The sequence below is a fragment of the Homo sapiens genome, chromosome 1 (genome assembly GCF_000001405.40).
Source record: "Homo sapiens chromosome 1, GRCh38.p14 Primary Assembly".
NCBI lineage: Eukaryota > Metazoa > Chordata > Mammalia > Primates > Hominidae > Homo > Homo sapiens.
Window position 1 is genome coordinate 197,109,513 of NC_000001.11, and position 27,177 is coordinate 197,136,689.

General features: G+C 34.6%; 1 protein-coding gene across 2 annotated transcripts in view; it reads right to left on the bottom strand.

Moving 5' to 3' along the window:
- The window catches only part of ASPM (assembly factor for spindle microtubules), a 62,543-nt gene that overhangs the window by 25,386 nt on the left and 9,980 nt on the right, over nt 1-27,177 (bottom strand). For both annotated transcript variants that reach the window (NM_001206846.2, NM_018136.5), the window contains exons 5-17: nt 25,584-25,730; nt 23,838-24,083; nt 22,773-22,840; nt 20,403-20,544; nt 19,675-19,805; nt 18,978-19,153; nt 15,534-15,679; nt 15,358-15,443; nt 14,598-14,819; nt 12,876-13,083; nt 12,647-12,789; nt 12,403-12,531; nt 8,277-8,471 (exon numbers count right to left, since the gene is read on the bottom strand). In NM_001206846.2, coding sequence (NP_001193775.1) covers nt 8,277-8,471; nt 12,403-12,531; nt 12,647-12,789; nt 12,876-13,083; nt 14,598-14,819; nt 15,358-15,443; nt 15,534-15,679; nt 18,978-19,153; nt 19,675-19,805; nt 20,403-20,544; nt 22,773-22,840; nt 23,838-24,083; nt 25,584-25,730 — 2,039 coding nt within the window. The remainder of the gene's footprint in view (nt 1-8,276; nt 8,472-12,402; nt 12,532-12,646; nt 12,790-12,875; nt 13,084-14,597; nt 14,820-15,357; nt 15,444-15,533; nt 15,680-18,977; nt 19,154-19,674; nt 19,806-20,402; nt 20,545-22,772; nt 22,841-23,837; nt 24,084-25,583; nt 25,731-27,177) is intronic.

Below are 27,177 nucleotides of genomic sequence, written 5' to 3' on the forward strand. Positions count from 1 at the left end.
CAAGAAAACTACAGTTTATATAATACTTAATGCGTGAACAAGGCAAAGATATTGAATCTTACCACTCCTATTTAGCATCATACTGGAATTCTTAGCCAATAAAATAAGTGGGGGAAATAAAAAATAGAAAGAATATTTAGATTGGAAAGAAAGGCAGACAACACGACTATGTAGAAAATCTCAAAGAATCTAAAACAAAAACAAACATAAAAACTTCATAGAAATAAGTGAGTTTTTTTAACAGGATTAATAGTTAACCCTTTTATATGTTAAAGGGTTAACATATAAGGATGAATGTTTATAAAAAAGAAACAAATGGGAACTGAAATTAAAAAGCAATACTATTTATAATAGCTCCAAAATAAAATAAGATACTGAGGTATGAATCTAACAAAAAGCTGATGATGAACAACTCAAAGATCTAAATAAATGGAGATATGTATCACCTTTATGAATCAGAATAATCAACATAGTAAAGTTGTCAGTGTACCTCAAAATATCTGTAAATGTGATGCAATTTCAATCAAAATTTGACAGTATTTTTTGAGGACATAGAAAAACTAACCTAAAACTTAAATGGAAAGACAAAGCAACTAGAAAATTCCAACTCATTTTGAAAAAAGAATAAAATTGGACGAATCACAATATCCATTAAGGCTTACTATAAAGCTGCAGTAATCAAGAAACTGTGGTATTGATGAAGGTATAGACACATGTATTAATGAAACAGAATACAGTCCAGAAGATCAACACACATATGACCAACTGATTTATGACAAAGGTGCAAAGACATTTCAATGTGGAAAGAATAGTTTTTTACAGCAAATAGTGTTGGAATAATTGGACATGTATATATAAAAAAAGTGAACATTGACCTAACCCTTACCTTAGAGGAGAACTAACACAAAATACATCATAGGTCAAAATTTAGAATGAAAAATTATAAAACTTTTAGAGTACTTTGATATGACGCTAAAAGCATAATCCATAAAAGAAGAAAAGTGATAACTGGATTCCAATAAAATGAACTACTTCTGCTGAACAAAAAGCCCTGTTACAAGAATAAAAAGACAAGCTGCAGATTGGGAGAAATTGTGTGAAATCACTAACAAAGAAGGAGGATTACCTACTAGATATCCAGATTTCACCTACTGCTACAGTGCGAGGCTCAAAGATAGACAAATGGACCAATTGAATAGAAAGAAATACTAGAAACAGAATCACACATATAAGAATAGCTGATGTCTACTACACAAATAGAAAAGGGTAGAGAACCCAAAAATAAAACCACATACCTAAAACCACCTGATCTTTGACATAGTTGACAATAACAAACAATGGGGAAAGGATATGCTATTCAATAAACGGTCAGTGCAGAAGATTAAAATTGGACGCTTTCCTTTCACCACATACAAAAAATTAATGCAAGATGGATTAAAGACTTAAATGTAAGACCCAAACCAATAAAAACCCTAGAAGAAAACCTAGGAAATACTACTCCGGATATCAGCCTTGGGAAAGAATTTATAACAAAGTCCCCAAAAGCAATTGCAACAAAAAACATAATTGACAAATGGGACCTAATTAAACTAAAGAGATTCTGCACAGCAAAATAAACTATCAACAGAATAAACAGACAACCTACAGAATGGGAGAAAATATTTGCAAACAATGTATCTAACAAAGGTCTAATATTCAGTATCTATAAGGAACTTAATTCAAAAAACAAAAAACAAATAACCCCACTAAAAAATGGGCAAAGGACATACACACCTCTCAAAGGAAGACACACATGCGGCCAAGAAATCTATGAAAAAATGCCCATCACCACTAAACATCAGAAAAATACAAATCAGAACCACAGTGAGATACCATCTCACCCGTCAAGATGGCTGTTTTTAAAAAGTCAAAAAACAGATGCTGGCAAGATTACAGAGAAAAGAGAACACTTATATACTCCTGGTGGAAATGTAAATTAGTTCGGCTACTTTGAAAATCAATTTGGAGATTTTTCAAAGAACTTAAAACAGAACTTCCATTTGATCCAGAAAACCCACTACGGGGTATATACCCAAAGAAAATAAATCATTCTACCAAAAAGACACATGGATTCATATGTTCATCGCAGAACTAATTCACAATAGCAAAGACATGGAATCAACCAAGACGTCCATCAACAGTGGACTGGATAAAGAAAATGTGGTACACACACACTGGAGACATACATGCAGCCAACAATCATATGGAAAAAGGTCAACATCACTGATCATTATAGAAATGCAAATCAAAGCCACAATAAGATACTATCTCACATCAATCATAATGGCTATTACTAAAAAGTCAAAAAGTCAGATGCTGGTGAGGTTGTAGAGAAAAAGGAATGCTTATACACTGTTGGTGGGAGTATAAATTAGCTCAACCATTGTGGAAGACAGTGTGGTGATTTCTCAAAGGCCTAAAAGCAGAAATACCATTCAACCCAGCAATCCCATTAATGGGTATTTACCCAAAGGAATATAAATTGTTCAATCATAAAGAAGCATGCGTGATGTTCACTGCAGCAATATTCACAATAGCAAAGACATGGAATCAACCTAAATGTCCATCAATGACAGACTGGATGAAGAAAATGCGGTACATATATACCATGGAATACAATGCAGCCACAAGAAAGAATGAAATCACGTCCTTTGCAGGGACATGGATGGAGCTGGAGGCCATTATCCTTAGCAAACTAACACGGGAACAGAAAACCAAACACTGCATGTTCTTACTTATAAGTGGGAGCTAAATGATGAGAAAACATGGACACACAGAGGGAAACAACACACAGTGGGGCCTATTGGAGAGTGAAGGGTGGGAGGAGGGAAAGGATCAGGAAAAATAACTAATGGGTACTAGGCTTAATACTTGGGTGACAAAATAATCTGTACAACAAACCCCCATGACACAAGTCTACCTATATAACTGTGACAGAAAAATATATTGGGCCCCCCAAATCACTAAGCTTAAAGAAAAACTCAAGCTGGAAACTGTTTAGGGCAAACCTGTCTCCCATTCTATTCAGCTACCCCTGTGCTCACTGAGGTAAATGCATATCTGATGCCTCCTTTGGAAAGGCTAATCAGAAATTTGAAAGAATGCAACTGTTTGTCTCTCACCTATCTGACCTGGAAGCCCCCTCCCTGCTTTGGGTCTTCCTGCCTTTGTCTCAAGTTATCCTGACTTTCCAGACTAAACCAATGTACTTCTTACATATATTGATTGATGTCTCATGTCTCCCTAAAATGTATAAAACCAAGCTGTGCCCCGACTGCCTTGGGCACATGTCAAGACTTCCTGATGCAGTGTAATGGGTGCACATCCTCAACTCTGGCAAAATAAACTTTCTAAATTAACTGAGACCTGACTCAAATTTTGGGGGTTCATATAACAAACCTGCAAATGTACCCCTAAACCTAAAATAAAAGGTAATTTTCAAAAAAAGGAAATGTAGCACATAAGCACCATGGAATACCATGCAGCCATAAAAAAAATTATGTCCTTTGCAGTAATGTGCATTTAGCTGGAGGCCATTATCCTAAGTGATGTAACACAGGAACAGAAAACCAAATATTACATATTCTCACTTATAAGTGGGAGCTAAACACTGAATACATATGGACACAAAGATGGGAACAATAGACACCGGGACTGCTTGATGAGCGCAAGTCAGAGGGAAGTGTGGGTTGGAAGATTATCAGGTACTATGCTCAATACCTGGGTGACAGGATCATTTGTACACTAAGGCTTAATGACATGCAATTTACCCATGTAACATATCTGCTCACATATACCCAGAATCTAAAATAGAAGTAGAAGAAACAAAAAAAGAATATATAATGTATACTGAAGGTAGCATGGCAAAAGGGCAAGGATGGTCATTTCAGTAAAACATGCTGAAACAACTGGATAGCCATATATTTTTTAAATGTCCTCTAAAACAAATCATCTAAAAATTAGTTTTAGGTGAGATCAAAATGAGGAAGACAAAACATTAATGCTTGTAGAGTATAACATAGGCATACATCTACAAGGCCTTAAGATAAAGAAGATAAAGAAACACTCCTTATATAATACACAAAAAATACTAACAATAAAAGAAAAACAAGAAATTTCATTAGTAAGATATAAAACAGTAAGTTATAGCCTGGGAGAAGACACAACACACATACCAAATAGAGGCCTAATAACAATCATAGTATAACGCTCTTTTATAAATCCACAAGAAGGCAACAGTTTTAAAAGATGCTCAAAATAATACTTCACAAAAGATTTCCAAAATGGAAAAGTTGTTCAACATCATTAATGAAGAAAAATCAAATTAAAACTACTCTGAATACTACTACACAATCACCAGAATGGCTAAAATTAAAAAGACAATTTCCAAATGTTAATGTAGACATGGAGTCATGTGAATGGTCATAAACACCTGGTGGGTTTTAAATCTTTACAAGTACTTTAAAAAACTCTTGGATAGTTGAAATATATACAGGCATATCTCGAAGATATTGTAGGTTCAGTTCCAGACCACCACAATAAAGCAAATATTACAATAAAGTGAGTCACACAATTTTTTTGGTTTCCCAATACATACCGAAGTTATCTTTACACTATACTGCAGTCTATTAAGTGTGCAAAACCATTGTGTCTAAAACACTACAAGGTACATACCTAAATTTAAAAATACTAAATTGCTAAAAAATGCTAAGAACCATGTGAGCCTTCAGCAAATTGTAATCTTTTTGCTAGTGGAGGGTCTTACCTTAATGTTGGTGGCTGCTGACTGATCAGAATGGTAGTTATTGTAGGTGGCTTTGGCAATTTTTTAAAAATAAGACAACAATGAAGTTTTACTGCATTGATTGACTCCTTATTCAGAAAAGATTGCTCCATAGCATACAATGCCACTTATTAGCGTTTTACCCAAAGTAGAGATTCTTTTAAAATTGGGGTCAATCCTCTCAAAGCCCGCTGCTGCTTTGTCAACTAAATTTATATACTGTTTTAAATTTTACAAAAAGTACATTTTTTTTTAAACAGTTAGGGTCTCACTGTGTCATCCAGGCTGGAGTGCAGTGGTGCAATAATGGCTCACTGCTGCCTTGAATTTCCAGGCTCAAGGGATCCTCCCACCTCAGCTTCCTGAGTAGCTGGGACTATGGATGTGTGCCACCACACTTGGCTAGTTATTTTATTTATTTTTTTTATTTTTGAGACGGAGTCTCGCTCTGTCACCAAGGCTGAAGTGCAATGACGTGATCTCGGCTCACTGCAACCTCCACCTCCCAGGTTCAAGGGATTTGCCTGCCTCAGCCTCCCAAGTAGCTGGGATTACAGGCATGCACCCCCATGCCTAGCTAATTTCTGTATTTTTAGTGGAGACAGTGTTTCTCCACGTTGGCCAGACTGGTCTCAAACTCCTGACCTCATGTGATCTGCCTGCCTCAGCCTCCCAAAGCGCTTGGGATTACAGGCATGAGCCATCATGCCCAGCTTATTTTTATTTTTAAATGGGGTCTCACTTTGTTGCCCAGGCTGATCTCGAACTCCTAGCCTCAAGCCATCCTCCCACCTCAGCCTCCCAAGTTGTTGAGATTATAGGAATGAGCTACCACACTTGGCTACCAGGAGTAGATCCCATTTCAAGAAACTACTTTGTTTGCTTATCTGTAAGAAGCACCTCCTCATCTGTTCAGCTTATATCATGAGATTGCTGCAATTCGGCACACCTTCAGGCACCACTTCTAATTCTAGTTCTCTTGATATTTCTACCACATCTGCAGTTACTTCCTCCAACGAAATCTTTAACCCATCGAAGTCATCCATAAAAGTTGGTTGGAATCAACTTGTTCCAAACTCCTGTTAATGTTGATATTTTGACCTCCTCCTACGAATCATGAATGTTTTTGATGGCACCTAAAATGATGAATCCTTTCCAGAAGGTTTTCAATTTACTTTACCCAGACCCATCAAAGGAATCACTATATATTGCATCCATAGCCTTACAAAAATGTGTTTCTTAAATAATACAACTTAAAACTCAAATTAATTTTTATCCATGGACTACAGAATGGATGTTGTGTTAGCAGGCATGAAAACAACATTCCTCTCCTTGTCCATGTCCATGACCAGGAGTACTGTCAATTAACAGTAATATTTTAAAAGGAATCTTCTTTTCTGTGTAGTAGGTCTCAACAACGGACTTAGAATATTCAGTAAACCCTGCTATAAACAAATGTGCTGTTATCCAGACTTTGTTGTTCCATTTATAGTGTACAGTCAGAGTATATTTAGCATAATTCTTAAGGGTCCTAGGATTTTCAGAAGGATAAATAAGCACTGGCTTCAACTTAAAGTCACCAGTTGCATTAGCCCCTAATAAGAGAGTAAAACTCTCCTTTGAATCTTTGAAGCTAGAAATTGATTTCCCCTTTCTAGATGCAAAAGTCCTAGATGGCATCTTCTTTTAATAGAAGTCTGTTTTGTCTAGATTGAAAACTTTTGTTTAGTGTAGCCACTTTTATTAATGATCTTAGCTAGATCTTCTGGATAACTTACTGCAGCTTCTACATCAGCACTTGCTGCTTTATCTTGCACTTTTATGTTATGGGAACAGCTTATTTCCTTAAATCTCATGAATCATTCTCTGCTAGCTTCAAAATTTTTGCAGCTTCCTTACTTCTGTCAACCTTCGTAGAACTGAATAGAGTTTGGGCCTTCTCTGGATTAGGCTTTGGCTTATGGGAATGTTGTGGCTGGTTTCATCTTCTATCTAGACCACTCACACTTCCTATCAAAGATCATTAATCTCACATTACCATAATAGATGTAGTACTAATGAAAAAGTTTGAAATATTTTGAGAATTACCAAACTATGACACAAACACAAAGTGAGCATATCCTGTTGGAAAAAGTGTTGCAGACTTGCTTAACACAGGGTTGCCACAAACCTTCAGTTCGTAAAACACTCAATAGCTGCAAAGCACAATAATGCAAAGAGCAATAAAACGAGGTATGCCTATATGCCTTAAGAACAATTGTACTCCTAGTACAATTGAAGAGACTGAATACATTTCACACCAAAAGACATGTTCATAATACCTTTAATCATAATAGCTCAAAACTGGAAAGCCAAATGTTCATCAAAAATAGAACAGATTAAGTATAGTGCAGAATACGAAATAAAAAAATTAAACCACGGCTATACTCAACGCTGATAAATCTCAAAAAATGTAATAATATCAAATCAAAGAATTCATATGGTTTGAACTCACCTGTAACAATTCAAAAAGTAAGCGAAACTAAATTATTGTGTTTAAAGAAAACACTTAGGAAAATGGCATGATTAGCATAATGGTTAGCTTGAGCTGGGATGGGAGAGTTAATTGAAAAATGCCTTTTGCTACACTGGCAATATTCTATTTCTTGGCCTAGGTGGTTTTACATTGGCATTTATTTTGTGAAAAATCATTAGGCTCTATATTTTTATTTTGGGTAATTTTCTATGTGTAATATTTTACATGTTAAAAAAAGGTTAAAAAAGACAATTATTTAAGTCAGAGAACCCTCATTTATCAATAATGGTAGCCAGACACAAAAACTTTCAAATTCATAAATCAGATATATTGATGGGGTGAAGCTTCAATGGCATTTATAAATAGTAAATTTAAATAATGCACATCTCTCATGTCATTAAAATATAATTTAATATAAAAAAACTAATTTACATAGATGTAAAGACTATATTAAGTCAGTATTATATATTTTTTCCTAAAAAGAAAAATAATATAGGTATTCTATAGACTAATTATAAGTACTATTTCCTTTACATGCCAACTAAGTGGAGTAGAGAGAAAAATGTGTACAGTTGTCCCAAAGAGAAGTTTCCAGGACTCAAAGCAAAGATAAAAAAGAACCTGGTTGGTTATGTGGATCTACAAAGTAGAATGGTTCAGTAGGCCAGCATGTCCCACAGCGTAGAAGACGCAACAAAGAAGAGAGCAACAGGTACAGAATTAGAATGTTTGCTTTTTCAGAGCAAATGCATTTCAATTATGTTTCAGCCTTCTGCTGAACACCATAACGAGCTTTTCAGGTAGTAAATATTTGTTAAATTAAGTATTAGATAAAGAATCCTAAAATATAATCATTGAAAACTTCATCACATTTTGCCTTCTTACTTAAAAAAGTCATTAAAATTTTTTAAATTCAAAAATTAGTCCAGGATACTATACCTGAATAAGTGATGCTGCTTTATTTTGAACTTTTTCCAGCTTTTCCTTTTTTAACATTAATAATTTTCTCTGTGCTAAGACTCTTCGCCAATATTTCTGAATGACGAGTGCTGCATTAACTCTTTTTCTCAATCTTTGTTTTGCTAGAAAATTGATTACAGCCAATTGAATAATTCTTGCAGCTTTCTCTCTCTCCTAAAATAAAAAAGTCAGCAAATGTAAATTAAACACTCACTTAAGACCTTAAATTATTCTTTGTAAGATAACCATATGTTAAACACCAATCAAATTGATACTGGAAATAAAACACCCCTACACTTCTTGTGTTCATCTTTGGAATACTGATAATTCCAGGCATGTCGAAAGCGCTGATAGGTGGGCTTGCAGATATTTTGTATGATGAAACAAAGATTCCTAAGAAATAGTCTAAGATAAAGATTAGACATGTTTGATCTATCACAGATCCTCAGTAATCAAGATAAAGGCCATTTGAAGTGTAATGTGGTATGTTTCTCAGATTCAGGTCCACTGAATTCATGATTAACTTTTAGGAAAGGGGAGGATTGTATGAAAAAAAGAATGTGTTAGAGAATTGTAACAATTTGAACAAAGCAAAACACTAAAGGGGAGAAACAAAATACCTCCTCCTTTAGCACAGAATACATTGTGGCCTTAGGTCATACAAGCTGAAGAGGAAAAAGTATAGTTTGGGCTATGAGAAGTGGTATCTGAGATGCCCAACATTTGTGGTCAAAGAGGACCCAGCTCCCTAGTTATGTTAGAAGGCAATACCCCCCATATCTCTACTTGTTACTTCTGATAATAAATTGCTGTAAATAATAACATATTCTATGTCCAGCACCATTCTGAACACTTCATGAACAATCCATTTAAATCTCACAACCACCACCATAAGAACAAATGAGCAAATACTACTCTTACGATCACTAGAAAACTGAGGCAATGAGGTCAATTAGCTTGTTAGTTTATTGGTAATATAGCCAGGATACGAATCAGGCAGTTTGGCTTTAAAGTAACTTTGCTATACTGTCCAATACTAGATTTCTCAATTTACTTCACTGGAATTGGAGACTAGAAAATGAACTATTTCCTCTGGTGGGAAGGAATAACTTATGGCAGGGATGTCTGGCAGCTTTTTGTGTTGCTGTCTGGGACCGTCCACCATGCAAGGGTAGGCTCTACACAGAGATTAGCTATAATTCCAATTATTAATTAATAACAATCAGTGGTTGGTATCTGTGCATGAAAATTGTGCAATAGGGGAAACAACTATGGAAATAATCAAACTGTTATTTTTACATATAAAAAAGGTGACCAATAGATTGAAACATAAATACTAAGGAATGGTAAGTGCTATATATTGGATCATTCCTCTGGGGAGAAAGAGTAGACAATTCCAAAATCGGGCTAGGGGAATTATGTATATAACAAGTTGATTAAGTCATCTAACACCATTATCAATGCCCTTGTGAAACCTATGGGCTTTAGGACTGTAGAGGCTCAAGTTAAAAGCACAACCCTGTTACAGTAAATAAATAAATACACAAATAAAATTTTCAAATGTTGCAGTTCAGAAGTATATTGCATTTGAGACAAAAGTTGTAAGGGTCAGGGCATTCATGGACAAAATAGGCTAAAGTAAATTGTAACTTATCTCAGTTTTTAGATCATCTCTATAGAACTAAAATACAACTTTACATGCCATTAGAGAATTTAAAGATGGAAAGTAAATAAATTAGAAGAGGCAAATATATTACCAAATTTAGCAAGTATTTGAAAATTACATATACTGATGATAAAAGTTTCCATGTATGGTCATTGACCCTTTTTAATCAGACTGTTGTTGAGTCAGCCAGGTACCAGCTTATTTCTTTTATCTTGCCTCATATATATAGGGCCAAATTCTAGGACTTCTTTTGCTTTGGAGTTTATGGCTATTTGTTGACAGGAAGAACTGAGAGCTGTAATGTACCAGGGGATGCTTCAATAGTTCATCAGGTAATTTTAGCTACTTGACAAAGTTTCTTTGTCATAATAAAAGTTTGAGCCACTCCATTAATAGATTTATATGAATTATAACATAAAAGCAAAATATAAAACCTGAAAAATAGCTATCTCAAGTTAATATGTTTAGTAGCTTGCAATAACATAGGGAGCCTGCTGCTTAATGTTCTAAATAGAAAACGGAAAGATATAATTGGATGTGAGGTAATTGTATAAAAGAGGGAGTATGGTCACCAAGAAAAAGGAGAGAAACAGTGGTCTGACTGGGTCCAAGAAGTTTAACCATAAGTATAGAAACTTCTCTTAATTCTTCAAAAAAACTTCTCTTAATCCTTCAAAAAAATGGAAACTTCTATTTGCATTAAGGAAATAAATCAAGAAAAGGGATCTCACTAGCAAAAAGCTGAGAAAATTCTACAGTTAATATCAGACTAAGGCTGGGTGCAGTGGCTCATGCATATAATCCCAGCACTGTGGGAGACAGAGTCAGGCAGATCACTTGAGGCAGGAGTTTAAGACCAGCCTAGGCAATGGGGTGAAATCCTGTCTCTACAAAAAATACAAAAATTAGCTGGGTGTGGTGGCATGCACCTATAATCCCAACTACTCAGGAGGCTGAGGCACAAGAATGGCTTGAACCCAAGAGACAAAATCTGAAGTGAGCCAAGATCGTGCTATTGCACTCCTGCCTGGGTGACAGAGTGAGACCTTGTCTCCAAAAGAAAAAAAAAATCTGATTAATACAAGGCTATCTTGAGCAGAAAATAAAAGCAGAATACATATATATCTATCTCTTGTAATTCTAAAACTCTCATTTAATGCAATATACAATGGGTGAATCAAATAGCTTGAGGACTGGCCAGGGGAGACACTTTTCTGAACTCTTCCAATTCCCCTAGAAGTATTGGAAGCTTCTAGGGGAATTGCTTTAGGAAAGTTTTCAGGAAGTTATTCTCCAAGTGATATGTAGGCAGGGAGGCAGATCCTGAGTTTAGGGGCACTATAGGGCACACAGCATATACAGTAGCAGAAAAGACCATTTGTGAGTGTTAAGACCCTGCCTATTTCCCAAACTTTACTATGAAGAGTTTGAGTAGGGGAAAAGAAAATTATTTCAATTAGTCTTATTTCCAAGTCTGGTGTGAAATGAAAAAACACATATTGTGTTTGAAAGTTGTCAAAATTTATCTGTTTTACACAGCTACCAAGAACTTTATCACAGATGCATTATATTTCAAAGTTGAGAAGGAATATTGGGTGGAATGTATTTCTGAAATATTTATGATAAATTTTACCAGGCATGGATGCTTGTTTTATTTTATTTTTTTTGGTTTTCCAAATAAATAAACACAATATTAGTTAGTAGATGGAATAGGGTGACAAAAAGAGTGAAATAGTTTGTTCAACTTGATCAAGGAGGCCGTTTCTTAGATTATTAAAAATAACAATTTTCTCAGAACTTAAGAAAAAAATTTTTTACATTAATGAAATTTTTGTACTATTGGGGTCACAAAGGGAAACAATAAATAACATCTCTATTCTCATGCCCAGATCCTAACATTTTGAAAAATTAATAGCAGAAACCAAAATACCACTTTTAAAACTAATAAAGGATAAAGTAGAAGACAGCTTCATGGCAAACAAACTAAGCTTACTAGTTAAATCACAAAATCAGACACTTGATGCTCAGGCCCAGGCAGCACTAGTTGAGGTCAAGCCTCATACAGCACAGAATAAAAAATTAATGGAAAGCTCCTGCTCTCCAGAGGCAGGTTAGATTCCAACAGGAGGAAAGGAAGAGCTGAGTCAATGTGAGCTATGTATTCCTCACAAATTTAAAAAGCAGATTAAGTTATTCCTCTTCCCCTGGAACAGACTAGGTGAAGGGGTGGACAGACTGGAAGATACATCAAATGAAGGGAATATTAGCAATTAGGGAGAAATACTCATACCTCCCCAACCCAAAATACATATACACAATTACTAAATTTATCTTAATAATGCCATACATCCATAAAATGTAAAATCATATCAAAAATCAATCAACAAATACCTTCTAAAGTATAATTCACACTATAGTAGTTTCATATTCTAGGAGTACCTGATGGCGTTTGAGATCTGTTTTTAGTTTATATTTTCTCCATGTTGTTTGTATGAGTCGAGCAGCTCTTATTTCTTTACGAAGATCCAAAAGCCTTGCACAAAGAAATGACAAATAGGTAATAACCACCTAAAAAAAACCCACAAAAGATAAAAACAGAATATCAACAGAGAATACAGTACTTACTATCATCTTCTGAGACTTTATTATTGAATTAATAATTAGAAACTCTTCTTTTACTTACCTTTTCATCTGGAATTGTATTTGACATATCTGAATGATTAATCATAGCAGGTATTCCACCAAGGTCTCTAACTGCAGACCTAACCAAGTGAAAATTTTTCTTTTCATTTTCTAGGAGCTCTTTGTATAGCTCTGAAGTATTTTCTATTATGCAGGAGGAAAGGAGAAATTAGCCGTAGCTTCAAATCAGACATGGCAAAAAATTGGAAAAGTAACCAAAAGGGACTAACCATGATCAAATGCTTTAAGAGACATATCCAGAGAACTGTCATCAGATTCAGATGATGAATTTAATACCACTGAACCAGTTTGCGTACATTCCACAGTTTGAGTAGTACGCTGACATATAGCGTCAAATGGCACATAGCAAGGATGGTAATGGTGGATCAGGTAACATAACACACGGCCGTCTGAGAAAGACACTGTAAAATTCTCCACCTGATTGAAAATGCCAGAAAAACAATTAACCGCATTTAGAAAGTAGTATAGACATAATGGTTTGCAGAATACCTGTGAATAATAAAGGCAGAGACTGGAGTGACAAATCTACAAGGCAAGTAATGGCAAGTTTGACTGGTAAACTCTAAAATTTAAAAGAAAAAAATAAAAGAGTATCCCCTAGAACTTTATGTGAGAGCATGGCACATCCAACACCTTGATTTCAGACTTCTAACCTCTGGAACTGTGAGAGAATAAATTTCTACTTTAAGCCACCTAGTTTGCTGTAATTTGCTATGGTAGTCTTAGGAAACTACAACAACAAGCAATGAGAGTGGATTCTCGTTATTTGTGAATATTGAACCATTGCATAGAGGAGAAATATAAGGTTAGTGTCCTGTGAGCCTCTGGTTATAATATGTTTATCAACCAATCCGCACATAACCTTGTTCACAGGTGTTTCTGATTCAATAACACTAACTCATGGCCAACAGCATTATAATTCACGCCTGCATTAAAATTAGTTAACGCATATATTTTCTGTATACGGCACATCACAGTCTTCTCCTAAGAACACTAGACAGGGCTTCATTACTACACTTGAAAGCCATTTTAAACAGGGAACTCACCAACAAAAAGCACAAAAATGCAAAAAAGTACAATGCTAAATAGGTCCTGAAAAGGACGCTTGTTTACAGTATAAGAGCTGAAACAAAAAGAGCACCACCTTGTTTGACATCAGCTGGCTATGAGGGCCCAGGCATTCACACACGTCAATAAATGACCACAAAATACTGCAACTACTAATTTTGGCATTAAAAAGAAATTTTAGCTAGTATGCAAATTCCAAATATGGAATTAATTAATACCGATGATCAACTTTGGCTCTCTAGTATTTAGTTAAAACATAGAAGATTATCCATATGTTTAACAATTTTTGTACTAATAACTTCTTGGTATAATCATATTGCAAGGCTTACCATATTTAGCTATACATACTGTGTATCACTGTTTCTGTCTTATATTTATTACCAGATAGTTTATCCACGTGTTTAGGGGAAATTTTTTTCATATATTTACACTAAGAAGTATACTTCATACAGAAATACAGTGTTAACCTAACAAATGATTATAGAGAGACTCAAATTTTGTTCTTCTTCCTCTAACTAGTGGTAAGTTCTTAGTTGTCCCTTTCTGAATGTGGGCTTATTTGAATTGAACTTTATAATAATGATATGATTCTTTTATGTCCCAGTTCTATGCAAGCATCTTCTACTAAGACTTCCATCTAGGGCATATTTTTCTTTTCTTGATAAAATTATCATGTATCACACAATTGGTGATAGATTAGATGAAATACAGTGTATGATAAAACATTCACTCATTTGAGGGAAAGTTTGCTTACACAGATGAACTAAGAAATTCAAGAAAAGACTTCAGGCATTAAGTTTAAGTGACTTTCATCAAAATTTATTAAAATATATTGGGTTAAAACAAAAAACAAAGAAACTTACCTTTTTATTATAGAAGGCACAAACAGCATTTACCCAATCCATCAATAACTTTATGTTTTCACTATATTGTTCAAAGGAACCACTATCCCTTTTGCCTTTTTTCTTATTAATAAGATCATCAGAATGGCATGATAGTAGAGATATTGTTTTCTTTATACTCTTTGTGTGTTTTAGAAAGGCAATTTCTTCCTTTAATTGATCTAAGTTAAGGGAAATATCCACCTAAAACAAACACAAAAAAAGATAAATACCTTCATATTTTCCATAGATTATTTTTAACCCACAGAAATCAAAGTAACTGTCTTCTATTTAGAGAAACTGTAGATGTTTTAAACCAGGAAGTTAAAAAAATCAAAGAAAATAAAGTGCCTGAAATGGATATTTTAGTACAAAACAGTCGCTTTTTTTTTCCCCAAAGGCAAACACCATCTACACTGAAGTGATAAAATGTTTAGTGGTTAAGAACATGGGATTTGGGGCCCATGGGATTTATCAATGATGTAAACTGTAGTTTCAGTTTCCTCATCTGAGAGGTAGACATAACACCTACTTTGCAGGTGTGGTGAAGATTAGATTGAAATATATATATATATACACATATATATACATATATATATATAGCATTTATCACAGTTACTGGGGCAAAATAAACCTTATTAAATGATGGTTGTTGTTGTTATTCTTTATTAGATTCAAATTGTTTTTATAAATCAGTAATCAAAATTGATAAAAAATACAAGATGTACCAAATGTATAATACCTGAAAAGCAAACGCTATTTTCCAAAGCAACCTGAGAGTTTTTTCTCTGTGCCTATCCACAATATCCTTAGATAGAATTGTATTTCCTATAAAAGAAAAGGTTGTCCATTAGCATAATGTACGCACATATCAATATTCAGTGAGGAGAATAAGTTTTACCTCTACTCAGTTTTTACCATGCTCATCACTTAATTCAATTCCTCGTGATTTAAGAACTTGAAGAACAATGTCAACATTGTGCATCTTTTGAAGACGACTTATTGCCGGAATCCTGAGTTTCTTTGAGAGGTCCCAGTTCTGTGTGAGAAGTTCCATGGTTCGCCTGGCAGTAATAAAATGTTCAGATGAAATTATCATAAAAACGTATATGAAAAAACCCTTCACTGAAATATAGTTATTTCCCACATAAATCCCAACAGTTACAGGGCTTTATGATCAGAAAGACTTCAAAAAACTATCTCAAAACTCTGTTGCTCCATAGTCGGCAAGTAGAGTTCTTATTTTAAGTTTGGGATTGAAGTGTGTGAACAGATGATAAGAAAATAAGATATACATATATAAATGCACACATCAACAAAATAATAGGGCTCTACAGAAAAGAGAAAGAAAGGAAAGGACAGAAAAGAGAGGAGAGGGATGTAGAGCAGAGAGGAAGCACATTTATTGGGATGTACTATATTGTACACATCAAGCAAGTGCTTTATTTTCTTATTTTAGTTATCATGGTAAAGCGCACAATTAATTATTGTTAGATAAAGAAACTAAGGCCCATAGAGCTTAAATGAATTGCCTATGGTCATAGAGCTGGTAATGGCAAAACTAAGATGAGAACTAAAATCCAGTTTTACTTGTTTCCACAGTAATTCCTATATATATATAAAAATATATGTATATATACACGCACGAATATTTGAGTATCTACCTAACAAAGACAGAAAAAGCAAACCCCAACTGATTTCTGTCTTCAACAAAAAGCTGGTAGAATTACTTATACAACCATAGTCTCTAAAGGCTAGAAAGAGACTTAAGATAATTCTAGGCCAACCATCCAGTCAATTGTAGACCAACCCATCACCCATGGCATTAATAGAGTAACCATCCCAAAGCATTCTCAAGTGACTTCAAAGATTTATAAAACAGTCATTTTGCTGACACTTATCAAAACAGAAATTTGGTTATACAAGATTGATCTCTTAACTACTTAGAATTCCTAACCGACTAAATAACATCAACATCCAACAGTGCTAAATCCTCAGTAACTCCTGTAAAAGCATAAAAATGGGCTTTCTGGCCAGCCGCGGTGGCTCACGCCTGTAATCCCAACATTTTGGGAGGCTGAGGTGGGTGGATCACCTGAGGTCAGGAGTTCAAGACCAGCCTGACCAACATGGTGAAACCCCGTCTCCACTGAAAATACAAAAATTAAATAGGCATGGTGGTGCACACCTATAGTCCCAGCTACTCATGGAGCTGAGGCAGGAGAATCGCTAGAACACAGAGGCAGAGGCTGCAGTGAGCCGAGATCGTGCCACTGCACGCCAGCCTGGGTGACAGAGTGAGACTCTGTCTCAAAAAAAAAAAAAAAAAAAAAAAAAAAAGGGAGGGGGACTTTCTTTGTGGAAAAATAGCACTGAACATTAAACCAATCCTTGTTCCTCCTAGAAAGTGGAAAAAGTATAAAAACAATTCCTATTGGCCAGAATATTGATGTGGTAGCTTGAATTTATTAAATAAACAAATTAACCAACTAAAAAAATGTGAAATATTTTAAGCAAAATGATCTTAGCTCATATGGAACTGCTAAAGTGAGACAAAGCTGCAGTAAAAAGACTATTAACTTGTGAGAATACTGATCAGAAAGAAAAGAATGTTCATGGAAATTTAGCCTAAAAGAAGGCAAGGGACATGTAAACTGTTTTTCAAAAACCGGAGATTCATAAAAATCTAGGATCTTGTCCTCATAAATGTCAAAGAATTCCTCCATTCTGGCCAAGCGGTCCTCTGACCTCTGCTTGAACCTTCCAACACTGTGAACTGGTTGTTTGATAAAGACACGTCTGAATATTGGCAAGTTTTTAAACCAAACCCACATTCATCTTCCTGAAATTTTCATTGTTCATGCATACTTATTTTGCTTGGCAATAAACAATTTAATCACCTTTTATTATAAGACAGTTCTTCAAATATCTTAAAACATTTATGCCCCAGAGTTTTCTCTTCTGTTCTATTTCTCTAAATATTCACAGTTCTTTCAATTGGTCTCCATGAAACATGGATATAAGGTTTTCTAGTTTATACTCTAAAGTTATCTCTAGTCGAAACAAAGAAATTAAAAAGTATATCCAAATAGCTTCTTTCCTATTCAGTTGAGTTTTAGACAACATGAATTTTAACATGAAGACTGCCTGCAATTAATTTTAGCTACAATACAAGCAATTTAAAATCTGACAAAAATGTACCAGGGTCAGCTAAAGAGTTTGTTAAGTTTTACTGTAGCAGAGATATTTTATAAAGACCATTAAATCTGTGCTCCCCATACGTCAACATTTAACTAGCTGTTTTGAGGCATAGCAACTTCCTAAATACACAGAGAAAAAAACTTTCATTGCTTTAAAGAAATCTCTTGCCTTGACCCCAAAAGTGCTTCCTTGATAAGGATATAATATATATTTTGGAGAGTTCCCTAGAAATAAAATGAGTATCTCCAACCCAGATACCCTGAAGAGGCCAATCATGGCAAAATGCTAAAGGCCATTCCTTCTAAGCAAAACTGGCTATCCATCATACATACCAAAGCCAATTTTGAGCATTCCAGTTTGTTATTGAGGAAATATTGTGTAATTTGAAGTCAGATTTCATGAGTTTATGTCTCAATTCCACTGTGGAAAACTTGGGCAATCTATTCTACCACTTCATCTTATTTTCCTCATATGTAAAACAAGGTTAATACTACTAAAAATGGTCTCAAATGATATAAAATTCATGAAACCACTGTCAATAAAAAGTGTCATTTTGGCCAGGCACGGTGGCTCATGCCTGTAATCCCAGAACTTTGGGAGGCCGAGGCAGGCGGATCACGAGGTCAGAAGATCGAGACCATCCTGGCTAACACGGTGAAACCCCGTCTCTACTAAAAATACAAAAAATTAGCTGGGCGTGGTGGTGGGCACCTGCAGTCCCAGCTACTCCGGAGGCTGAGGCAGGAGAATGGCGTGAACCCAGGAGGTAGGCTTGCAGTGAGCCGAGACCTTGCCAGTGCCCTCCAGACTGGGCAACAGAGCAAGACTCCGTCTCAAAAAAAAAAAAAAGTGTTATTTCAATGTTTGATATTTTAATTAGTTTAATGGTCTTCCCAACTCCTATTCTGAGACATCAGTAATTATTATCCATGAGTCCCAGTCACATGCCATCAGGAAAAAAGGTGTGGATAGGAGACAAGGTTTCTGGACATAACATTGATGTACCACTTCCCTGAAAAAAAAAAAAAAACCTCAATTTTTTTCAGTACTAAATTTATTGTACTACTTGAAAGAGCAAGATTGAATAATTACAAAAAAAGTGTTTTCCAGAAAATGTTAGTCTATTCCATTAAGCAAAATAATTCTATTTCTTATACGTACACAAGGCGCACTCCACATTGCAAGTCTACGGCAAGATTTGTAACGGCAAAATCAAATTCATCAAATGGTGTCTGAACATGGTTAACAGGTAATCCCAATAAGCCAAGGTGACGGGAAAGGTCACCTTCACCACTTAGGAAATCTCGTGAAAAAGCCAAAAGGATTTCTTTACTAGCCTATAAAGAAATAAGTTCCAGATATTATATTCCAATATTATAATTTTGCTTATAATAAAAACAAATCCTCCAAATCATTCTGTACATATAAAAATAAAATAATATAAAAAGTTTCATATTATACATTAATAATGCAAACTTCATACATATTTCCAACTTAAGATCTTTCTAAAAGTTGCTCATAATAATACACTATAAAAACTAGCATTAACTTGATTATATACTACATCAAAATTAGGGAAGAAATTTTCTCAAAAATTAAATCTTCAGAAGCATAGTTTAATCCATTTTCAAGTCAAAATTAAGAGTAATGATAATGTGCTGATGAAAGGTAAACCAATAAAAACGAGGGATGGTTAGAATTACTGATGGGACTCACCAGACAGGCATTCCTATTTTACTCCTCTGAGTATTATTCTTTGGAAAACTAATTTTTTTTCTAAAGAGAAAACATACCATGAAAGCAAGCAAAAGTCGTAAATGGGAAATATAAAATATAAAGCATACAATGAAAAGCATACCTTGAATTCGGCATCTTTACAGAAGAGACAAGGATCATGATCAATGAGTCTGGAAATTTTAGCATAATCAAGAAAACAGACCAACAACAATAACTTTTTCAATGTAAACTTGGACAAAGCTTCTTCATGACCTTAAATAAAGTACAAAAAAGCACAGCAAGTTAATCTATGAAAGGTAGGTTTCATCTTAAAATATGATAATAATAATAATAAGGTGTTAGTAAAACAAAAAGTGTAGGGTAGCAAGCACAAATAAAACACTATGTGCCTTTTTTAGTGCTTTATGTGTATAAATCCATTTAATCCTCCCAATATCTCTATGGGACAAGTATGCACCACTTAATATTTTCAATTCATAGATGAGGAAACAGGCACAGAGGCATCAAGAGATTTAGTTGGTCTTACTCAACAAATATTTAATGAACACCTACTACATGCAGGCACCATCGTAGGTGTTAGATATACAGTACCAAATTACAACAAACATGACCCCCATAGGACTTACAACCTACTGGGGGGAGAGGATGGGTAGAGACAACAGATAGAATTATAAATAGTGATGGAGGAATTAACGGGGAATGAGGGTGGAGGAAGGGAGAGTACTAGAAGCAGAGACTTATTTAGATTGGTTTCTTTGAGAAAGGAAAATGTAAACAGAAACAGGAAGAATGACAATAAGCCATTCATGTATAATGTGGAGAGAATGTAGGAGAGGCAGAGATACTTACCATCTCTATACAGGTGAGGAACAGTGGGGTGTCTATACTCAGCTGCTATATCAGGATTCCAAAGTAGGCGATTCAGAATAAACATAGCCAACCCTGTGACATCACTGTTATCTTCCAAAGATATGAGTTCTCCATAAGTTGTCTGAAAATAAATTAAAGCCAAAGTCAGAATTATGCTATCTCTAAGAAACAAAGGGAAGTGACTGAGGAATGGCAGACCATAACCTAAGGAACTGGCAATGTTCTACTTTCTAAATGACATGGTTATTTGCTAAATAACTTCTTTAAACTATGCATATATGATTTATGTATATCTTATTGTATATAGTATACGTTGCAATGCAAAAAGACAAAGCTCAGGACTAAGATAAGTCTTAATCATCTGACGAGCAACATTCCCATTTTAATTTTTTCATTTAAGTTAAAGAACTATCAAATATAGGCATGTTGTTCAAATTTATTTATAACTGTCCCATTAAGTACATCGTGAAGTTATAACAGAAACCTAAATATTCAAATTTTTATGATAGTTATCAATGTAGAAAACATCTGCAAATCATCCAAGATAATTTGGAAAGCACAGGTCTGTTTATAATCAATGATTTAAATATAAAATTAGTTTAACATTAGCATGCTTATTAATAATTTTTAAAGCAATTAGGAAAAACTTAAAAAATATCAAATTCTGCAACCCTACATTGACAAAATATAAAGATTAAAGCATGGAAAAGTATTAATTATTACCTACCAAAATAGAGGAATTTAACTTTATTTACTTTTTTTGGCCTTTGAAATTTTCTTAAAATCCTCACGTACATTTATTTAAAGAATCCTAGGGTGTAGTAATAAGGTACCTGTAAAAAGATTATACATCCCCACCACCTGCCATAAATTTGCTGTGACTTGTGGGAGGTTAATACATTCCTAACTAGTTTGTGCTTAGCTACATAATGTGCTTTGGCCAATGGAATGTGGGTGGAGATGATACAAATTACATCCAAGAGGTTTTAAAAAGCATTGCAAGGTTCCACACAAAGTTCTTGATTTTATTTTTGCCACAAAAAAGCTATGTCCCAAATATGGGGGGCTCTATTTCAATTGAGGTTCCAGAATTCTTTCATATGTGAAGCAGAGCTAGTTGATCTGTAACTTGCCAACTATTTAAAGGGAAAGGACACTGGAATTGAAATAAGAAATCCCAGCAATGACACCACAATGCTGTGTAACCACAGTAAGCTTATTATTTATTCTCTCTGGGCCTCAATTTATTGGTATATAAAAGCCAGATTATTACAAAGATCCTGTTCGGTCCCAAAGACTCTTCTATTCCAAAACCTGGAATAAACTGAAATAGTAATGGGAGACCCTACATTAAGAAGGTAAGAAACCTAGAAAAAATGTGAAAGCATACTAGCAAAAAACTAAAGAATACAGACGCACAAAAGATACTTTTAATAAAAATGTCTTTAAACAGCCAATTACTAATAGTATCTTTCTAATTCAGTCAGTTTCAACATTCTAGGTATTACAGAGCCAAGAACTATGTAAAGAATGCAAATCCTGATGACATTTTTATGAGTACTATTTAATCAGATTGGTATAGGTTCAACTCCTGACCAAATAATTGGCATAGGGCAAGTCACTTTTTTTTTTTTTGAGAAGGAGTCTCGCTCTGTCACCCAGGCCCAGGCTGGAGTGCAGTCGTGCGATCTCGGCTAACTGCAAGCTCCACCTCCCGGGTTCCCCTCATTCTCCTGCCTCAGCCTCCCAAGTAGCTGGGACTACACGCGCCCACCATCACGCCTGGCTGATTTTTTTGTATTTTTAGTAGAGATAGGGTTTCACCATGTTAGCCAGGATGGTCTCCATCTCCTGACCTCACGATCAGCTCACCTCAGTCTCCCAAAGTGCTCGGATTACAGCATGAGCCACCACACCTGGCCAGGGCAAGTCACTTTAACATCTAAGCTTCTGTTTCGTTAGTGAAGTGGAAATAATAATACATACTTCACTGGGTTTTAAGAAATTTAAATTAGAAAATGTATTCACAGCAGCCTCGTTTTGGCATTTGTAAATTTGCAAAAATGAGTTTACTATAGTTGTCATTACGTGCAACACCAAATTATGTTTAAAGAGACTGTACAGTAAAATGTTGTATTACAATATGGTGTAATAATATATAATGGCATAGTCTATTTACCTAATAAGCATTTATTAACGGGTATTACATTTTATACTAAAAGATGAATCAAGCTAACCTAATGACTTTCAACTTTTATAAGTAAAACTACATTGTAATAAAATGAGTCTATTCTACAAAAAGTATATAATAAAAAAATATTATTTTAGAAACCTGAAATATATGCTTACCTCTAGACCAATTCGAAGCCACAAAGGATTGTAGGACAACAGCCAATTCAGGACTTTCTGACGTTCTCCTGAAATGCATGTCAAAGGCAAATAAGTTCAAATTGATAATCAAATAGAGACAAGAAATAAAACTTCAAGGAGAGTATATCAGTGGGAAAAAAATACTTGCTTATATGAAATAAGTTAATTTAAATAAAATACACTTATAGTCTTAAATATACATGATCATATTCAAGTATGTGGGATTTTTGGCAGCAAAGCTAAAGCATGTATACCTAGTTTTGAAATACAAAATCTCTTGGGGACATCAGTATCTGGAAGAGATACCTGCATTCTTATGTTCATTGCAGCATTATCCACAATATCCAAGATATGGAATCAATCTAAGTGTCCATTAGTGAATAAGTGGATAAAGAAAATGTGGGGTATGTGTATGTGTGTGTACGTATATATACAAATAAATATATATGATAAATATATATATATTTATATATAATGAAGTACTATTCAGTCTTAAAAATGAAAATCCTGTCACTTGTGATAACATGGATCAATCTGGAGGATATTATGCAAACTGAAATAGCCTAAGCATAGAAAAACAAATACTGTATGATCTCATTTATATGTGAAATCTAAACAAGTTGAATTTATAGAAGCACAGAGAATGGTGGTTGCCAGAGAATGGGGTAGAGGGACTGGGGCGATGTTGTCAAAGGAGTATAAAGTCTCAGTTACGCAGGATGAATAAATTCTGGAGATCGAATGTACACCATGACGACTATAGTTAATAACAGTGACTTGTATACTTGAAATTTGCTGAGAGTACTTCTTAAATGTTTTCACCACACATACACACAAGAAGGTAACTATGTGAGTAGATACATTAATTAGCTTGATTGTTATAATCATTTAATAATATATACATATATCAACATCATGTTGTATACCTTAAATATATGCCAGTTTTACCTGTCAATTATATGTCAATAAAGCCGGGGGAAAAAAACACAAAATCTCTTGAATGTTTTTAAAGAATTAATGTCAAGATTTCTGCAGTCTTCTTACCCACATCTTTCCATAGGTGTCTATCTTTTCGAACAATTAACCGCCTAGCTTCAATTTCAATTTCAAGCTTTTTAATAGCTTTAACCATTTTTTCAGAAGTAAACAAACGGCATGCTGCACGACGTAGTCTGTTTAACCTACACCGAGCAGTATAAGCTCTGAGAGACATTTCCTCTTTTGTAGGTGCTCTAGGAACACTTATTTTATGTTGATTCTCTATTCCCAAAAGAAGAGTAGCAGCATTTACTGGGTAAAAACAAAAGAAAGAATGTTTCTGGTTAAACAATATCTCTACATATTCTTAAATCCAGCAATAAAATGCAATTTCAGACGGTAAAAACATAATCTATTCCTCACCCACTCCAAGCTTACTCCTTAGGCCAATCTATCATCGCAACCTGTTAGCTCTACCTGCAAAATGTATTCCAAGTCTAGCCACTTTTCACCGCCTCTACTATCACAAATTCAAACATGATTATCTCTAATCCGGACTAATGAATTAACTTCCTCACTGGTTTATCTGTTCCCATCCTTTTTATAAATTAATAAAAGTCAAGTTTCTAAGGAATATAATTTTTAAAAACCAATTGAATTTTGAAATGTAATTTAATCTTTTATAAAACACATTTTCTTTTAAGAAAAGAACGAAAAATGGGGCTTTGCTCCCTTTTGGAAAAGAAACAACTTTTTTCTTTTTTTTTAAGTGATCTCTAAGATCACTGCTTAGAGAGCATCTAATTCAAAGACCCTTTTAATACAAAAATCCAGCCAGGTACAATTGCTCACACCTGTAATCCCAGCCTTTTGGGAGGCCAAGGCAAGTGAATTCCTCGAGCCTAGGAGTTCAAGACCAACTCTGGCAACATAGCAAGAACTCTTCTATTCAAAAATAAAAAATAATAAAAAAAAAAAACTAGCCAGGCATGGTGGCGTGCACTGGTAGTCACAACTACTCAGGAGTTTGAGGGAGCAAGATTGCTTGAGCCTGGGAAGTGGAGGCTGCAGTGACCTGTGATCACACCAATGCACTCCAGACTGGGTGAGGGAGTGAGACCTTGTCTCCAACAGCAAAAAAGAAAAAAAATCCTATACACGCGCTTCTCTGACAAAAATAAATCAGTGTCTGTCTGAACACCAGAATAGGAAAATCATCACTTTAAAAGTTAGCCTATATGATGATTTGACAATTTAAACATTCATAAGAATTTTTCCTTATCTTCAGCTGAAATTGATCCCTATAATTTCTAAGCAAGAGCTGCACAAAAGTTAAGTTTCCTTCTCTTTCACAAGAAAACACTTCAAATGTTTGAAAGGCACATCTCTACCTGGTCCCTTTCCCAAGTTTTCTCTTTTCCAGAACAAACACTGAAATGTTTAAAAATTCCTCATATGAATTGGTGTTTAGTTTCCTCATAATCCTATAGCTTTCCAACATACTTCTTAAACTAAGGTATTGAACAGTGGGGACAATATGCCCAAAGTGGGCAGGCCACACGGGACTGATTGCATTGACTGATGAGAGAGAATAGAGAACAAAAAGTATATTTCAGTACTTTCGGTAAAGAAAATGTACATATATAAATTTATGTAAATAAAAATTCTTACCTATACAAGCATTTAGGCTAATGAACAGGGAATTATGCCATTAATTATAATAACTATGTATAATTAAAGAATGACAAACGATGTTAAAAATCTTTATCTGTTAAAAGTATTATTAAATTTAAACATTAATTTAACGTTTACCTTCAGAAATATTTGTTTTTACAGTGAAGTCATCAGGGGTTAATATAAAATTTAACCACCAAGTGAAGCCCTGTTCCTGCTTTTCCTTCCAGCGTTCATCATAAAACATGTTTTTTGCAGCAAATGGCATCGGGTGTCTGGGAATATCTAAGAATACAATTAGGTTACTGCATAACAAAATTTCCTTTAACTTATTGTACAATATACAGCAAAAGTCATTTTTACTAGCAATACCATCTTTAAAACACTGAACAATATTTGCTTTTCTACTACTTGCAGGAAAGAGCTGAAAGCATTTTGGGTAAGAAATGTAATCAGAGCAAAATGGGGAAAAGTAAAGCGATATTTCCTGGTTATTTAACACTAAACCACCATGAATCAACTACATTAAAGTCTGATAGAATATCTTTTTTATAATTGATGCATAATAGATGTACACAATTTTGTGGTACATGTGATAATATATTCATAGAATTTATACAAATCAGGTCAGGGTACTTGGGATATCCATCACCTTAAATATCTGTCTTTTTTTTTTTTTTTTTTTTTTTGCCTTTTTGGTAGAATGATTTATTTTCTTTTGGGTCTTTACCAAGTAATGAGATTGCTGGGTAAATGGTAGTCCTGGGCAGATTGCTTGAGGCCAGGGGTTTGTAACCAGCCTGGGCAACATGGCAAAACCCCGTCTCTACCAAAAACACAAATAAACTAGCTGGGCATGGTGGCACATGCCTGTAGCCCCAGCTACCTGGGAGGCCGAGACGGGAGAATCACCCAAACCCAAGAGATGGAGGTCTCAGTGAGCTGAGATCACACCACTGCACTCCAGCCTGGGCAACAGAACAGGACTCTGTCCCAAAAAACAAAACAAAAAGACAATGTGAGAATCTTGAAAGCTCAGAGAGAAGAGCAACTCTCACAGACAAGGGATCTGGATAACATTAGCAGCTGATTTCTCAGCAGAAAACTTGAAGGCCAGTAGGCAGTGGATTATGTATTTAAAATAATGAAGAAACCTGTCAATTGAGAAACTGATAGCTGGAAAACCTGTCCTTCAAAAATAAGGGAGAAATTAAGACATTTCTAGATTTTTTTTAAAGCTGAAAAAATCCATTTATCTCTAAATTTGCCATACAAGAAGCATTAAAGTCCTTCAGGTTGAAATAAATGAACTCTAGGCAGTAACTATATAAGTAAATAACCAAGCTATATGAATATATAAAGCTCTCTGGTAAAGGTAAATATATAAACAAGCATAAAAACAGTATTATTGTAATTTTGGTTTGTAACTCCGCTTTTTATTTTCTACATGATTTAAAAGGCAAATGCATAAAATGTAATTATAAATATGTTAGGTGGTGTACAATGAATAAAGATATAATCTGTGACATCAATAACCTAAAAAGAGTAGAGCTATATAGCAGTAGAATTTTGGTATGTGATTGAAGTTAAGTTGAAATAAATTCAAATTAGAATGTTATAACTCTAGGATGTTATATGTAATTTTCATAGTAAACAAAAACAAAATATACATAGAATATACACAAAAGGAAATGAGAATAGAAACAAAACTTGTCACTACAAAAAAAATCAA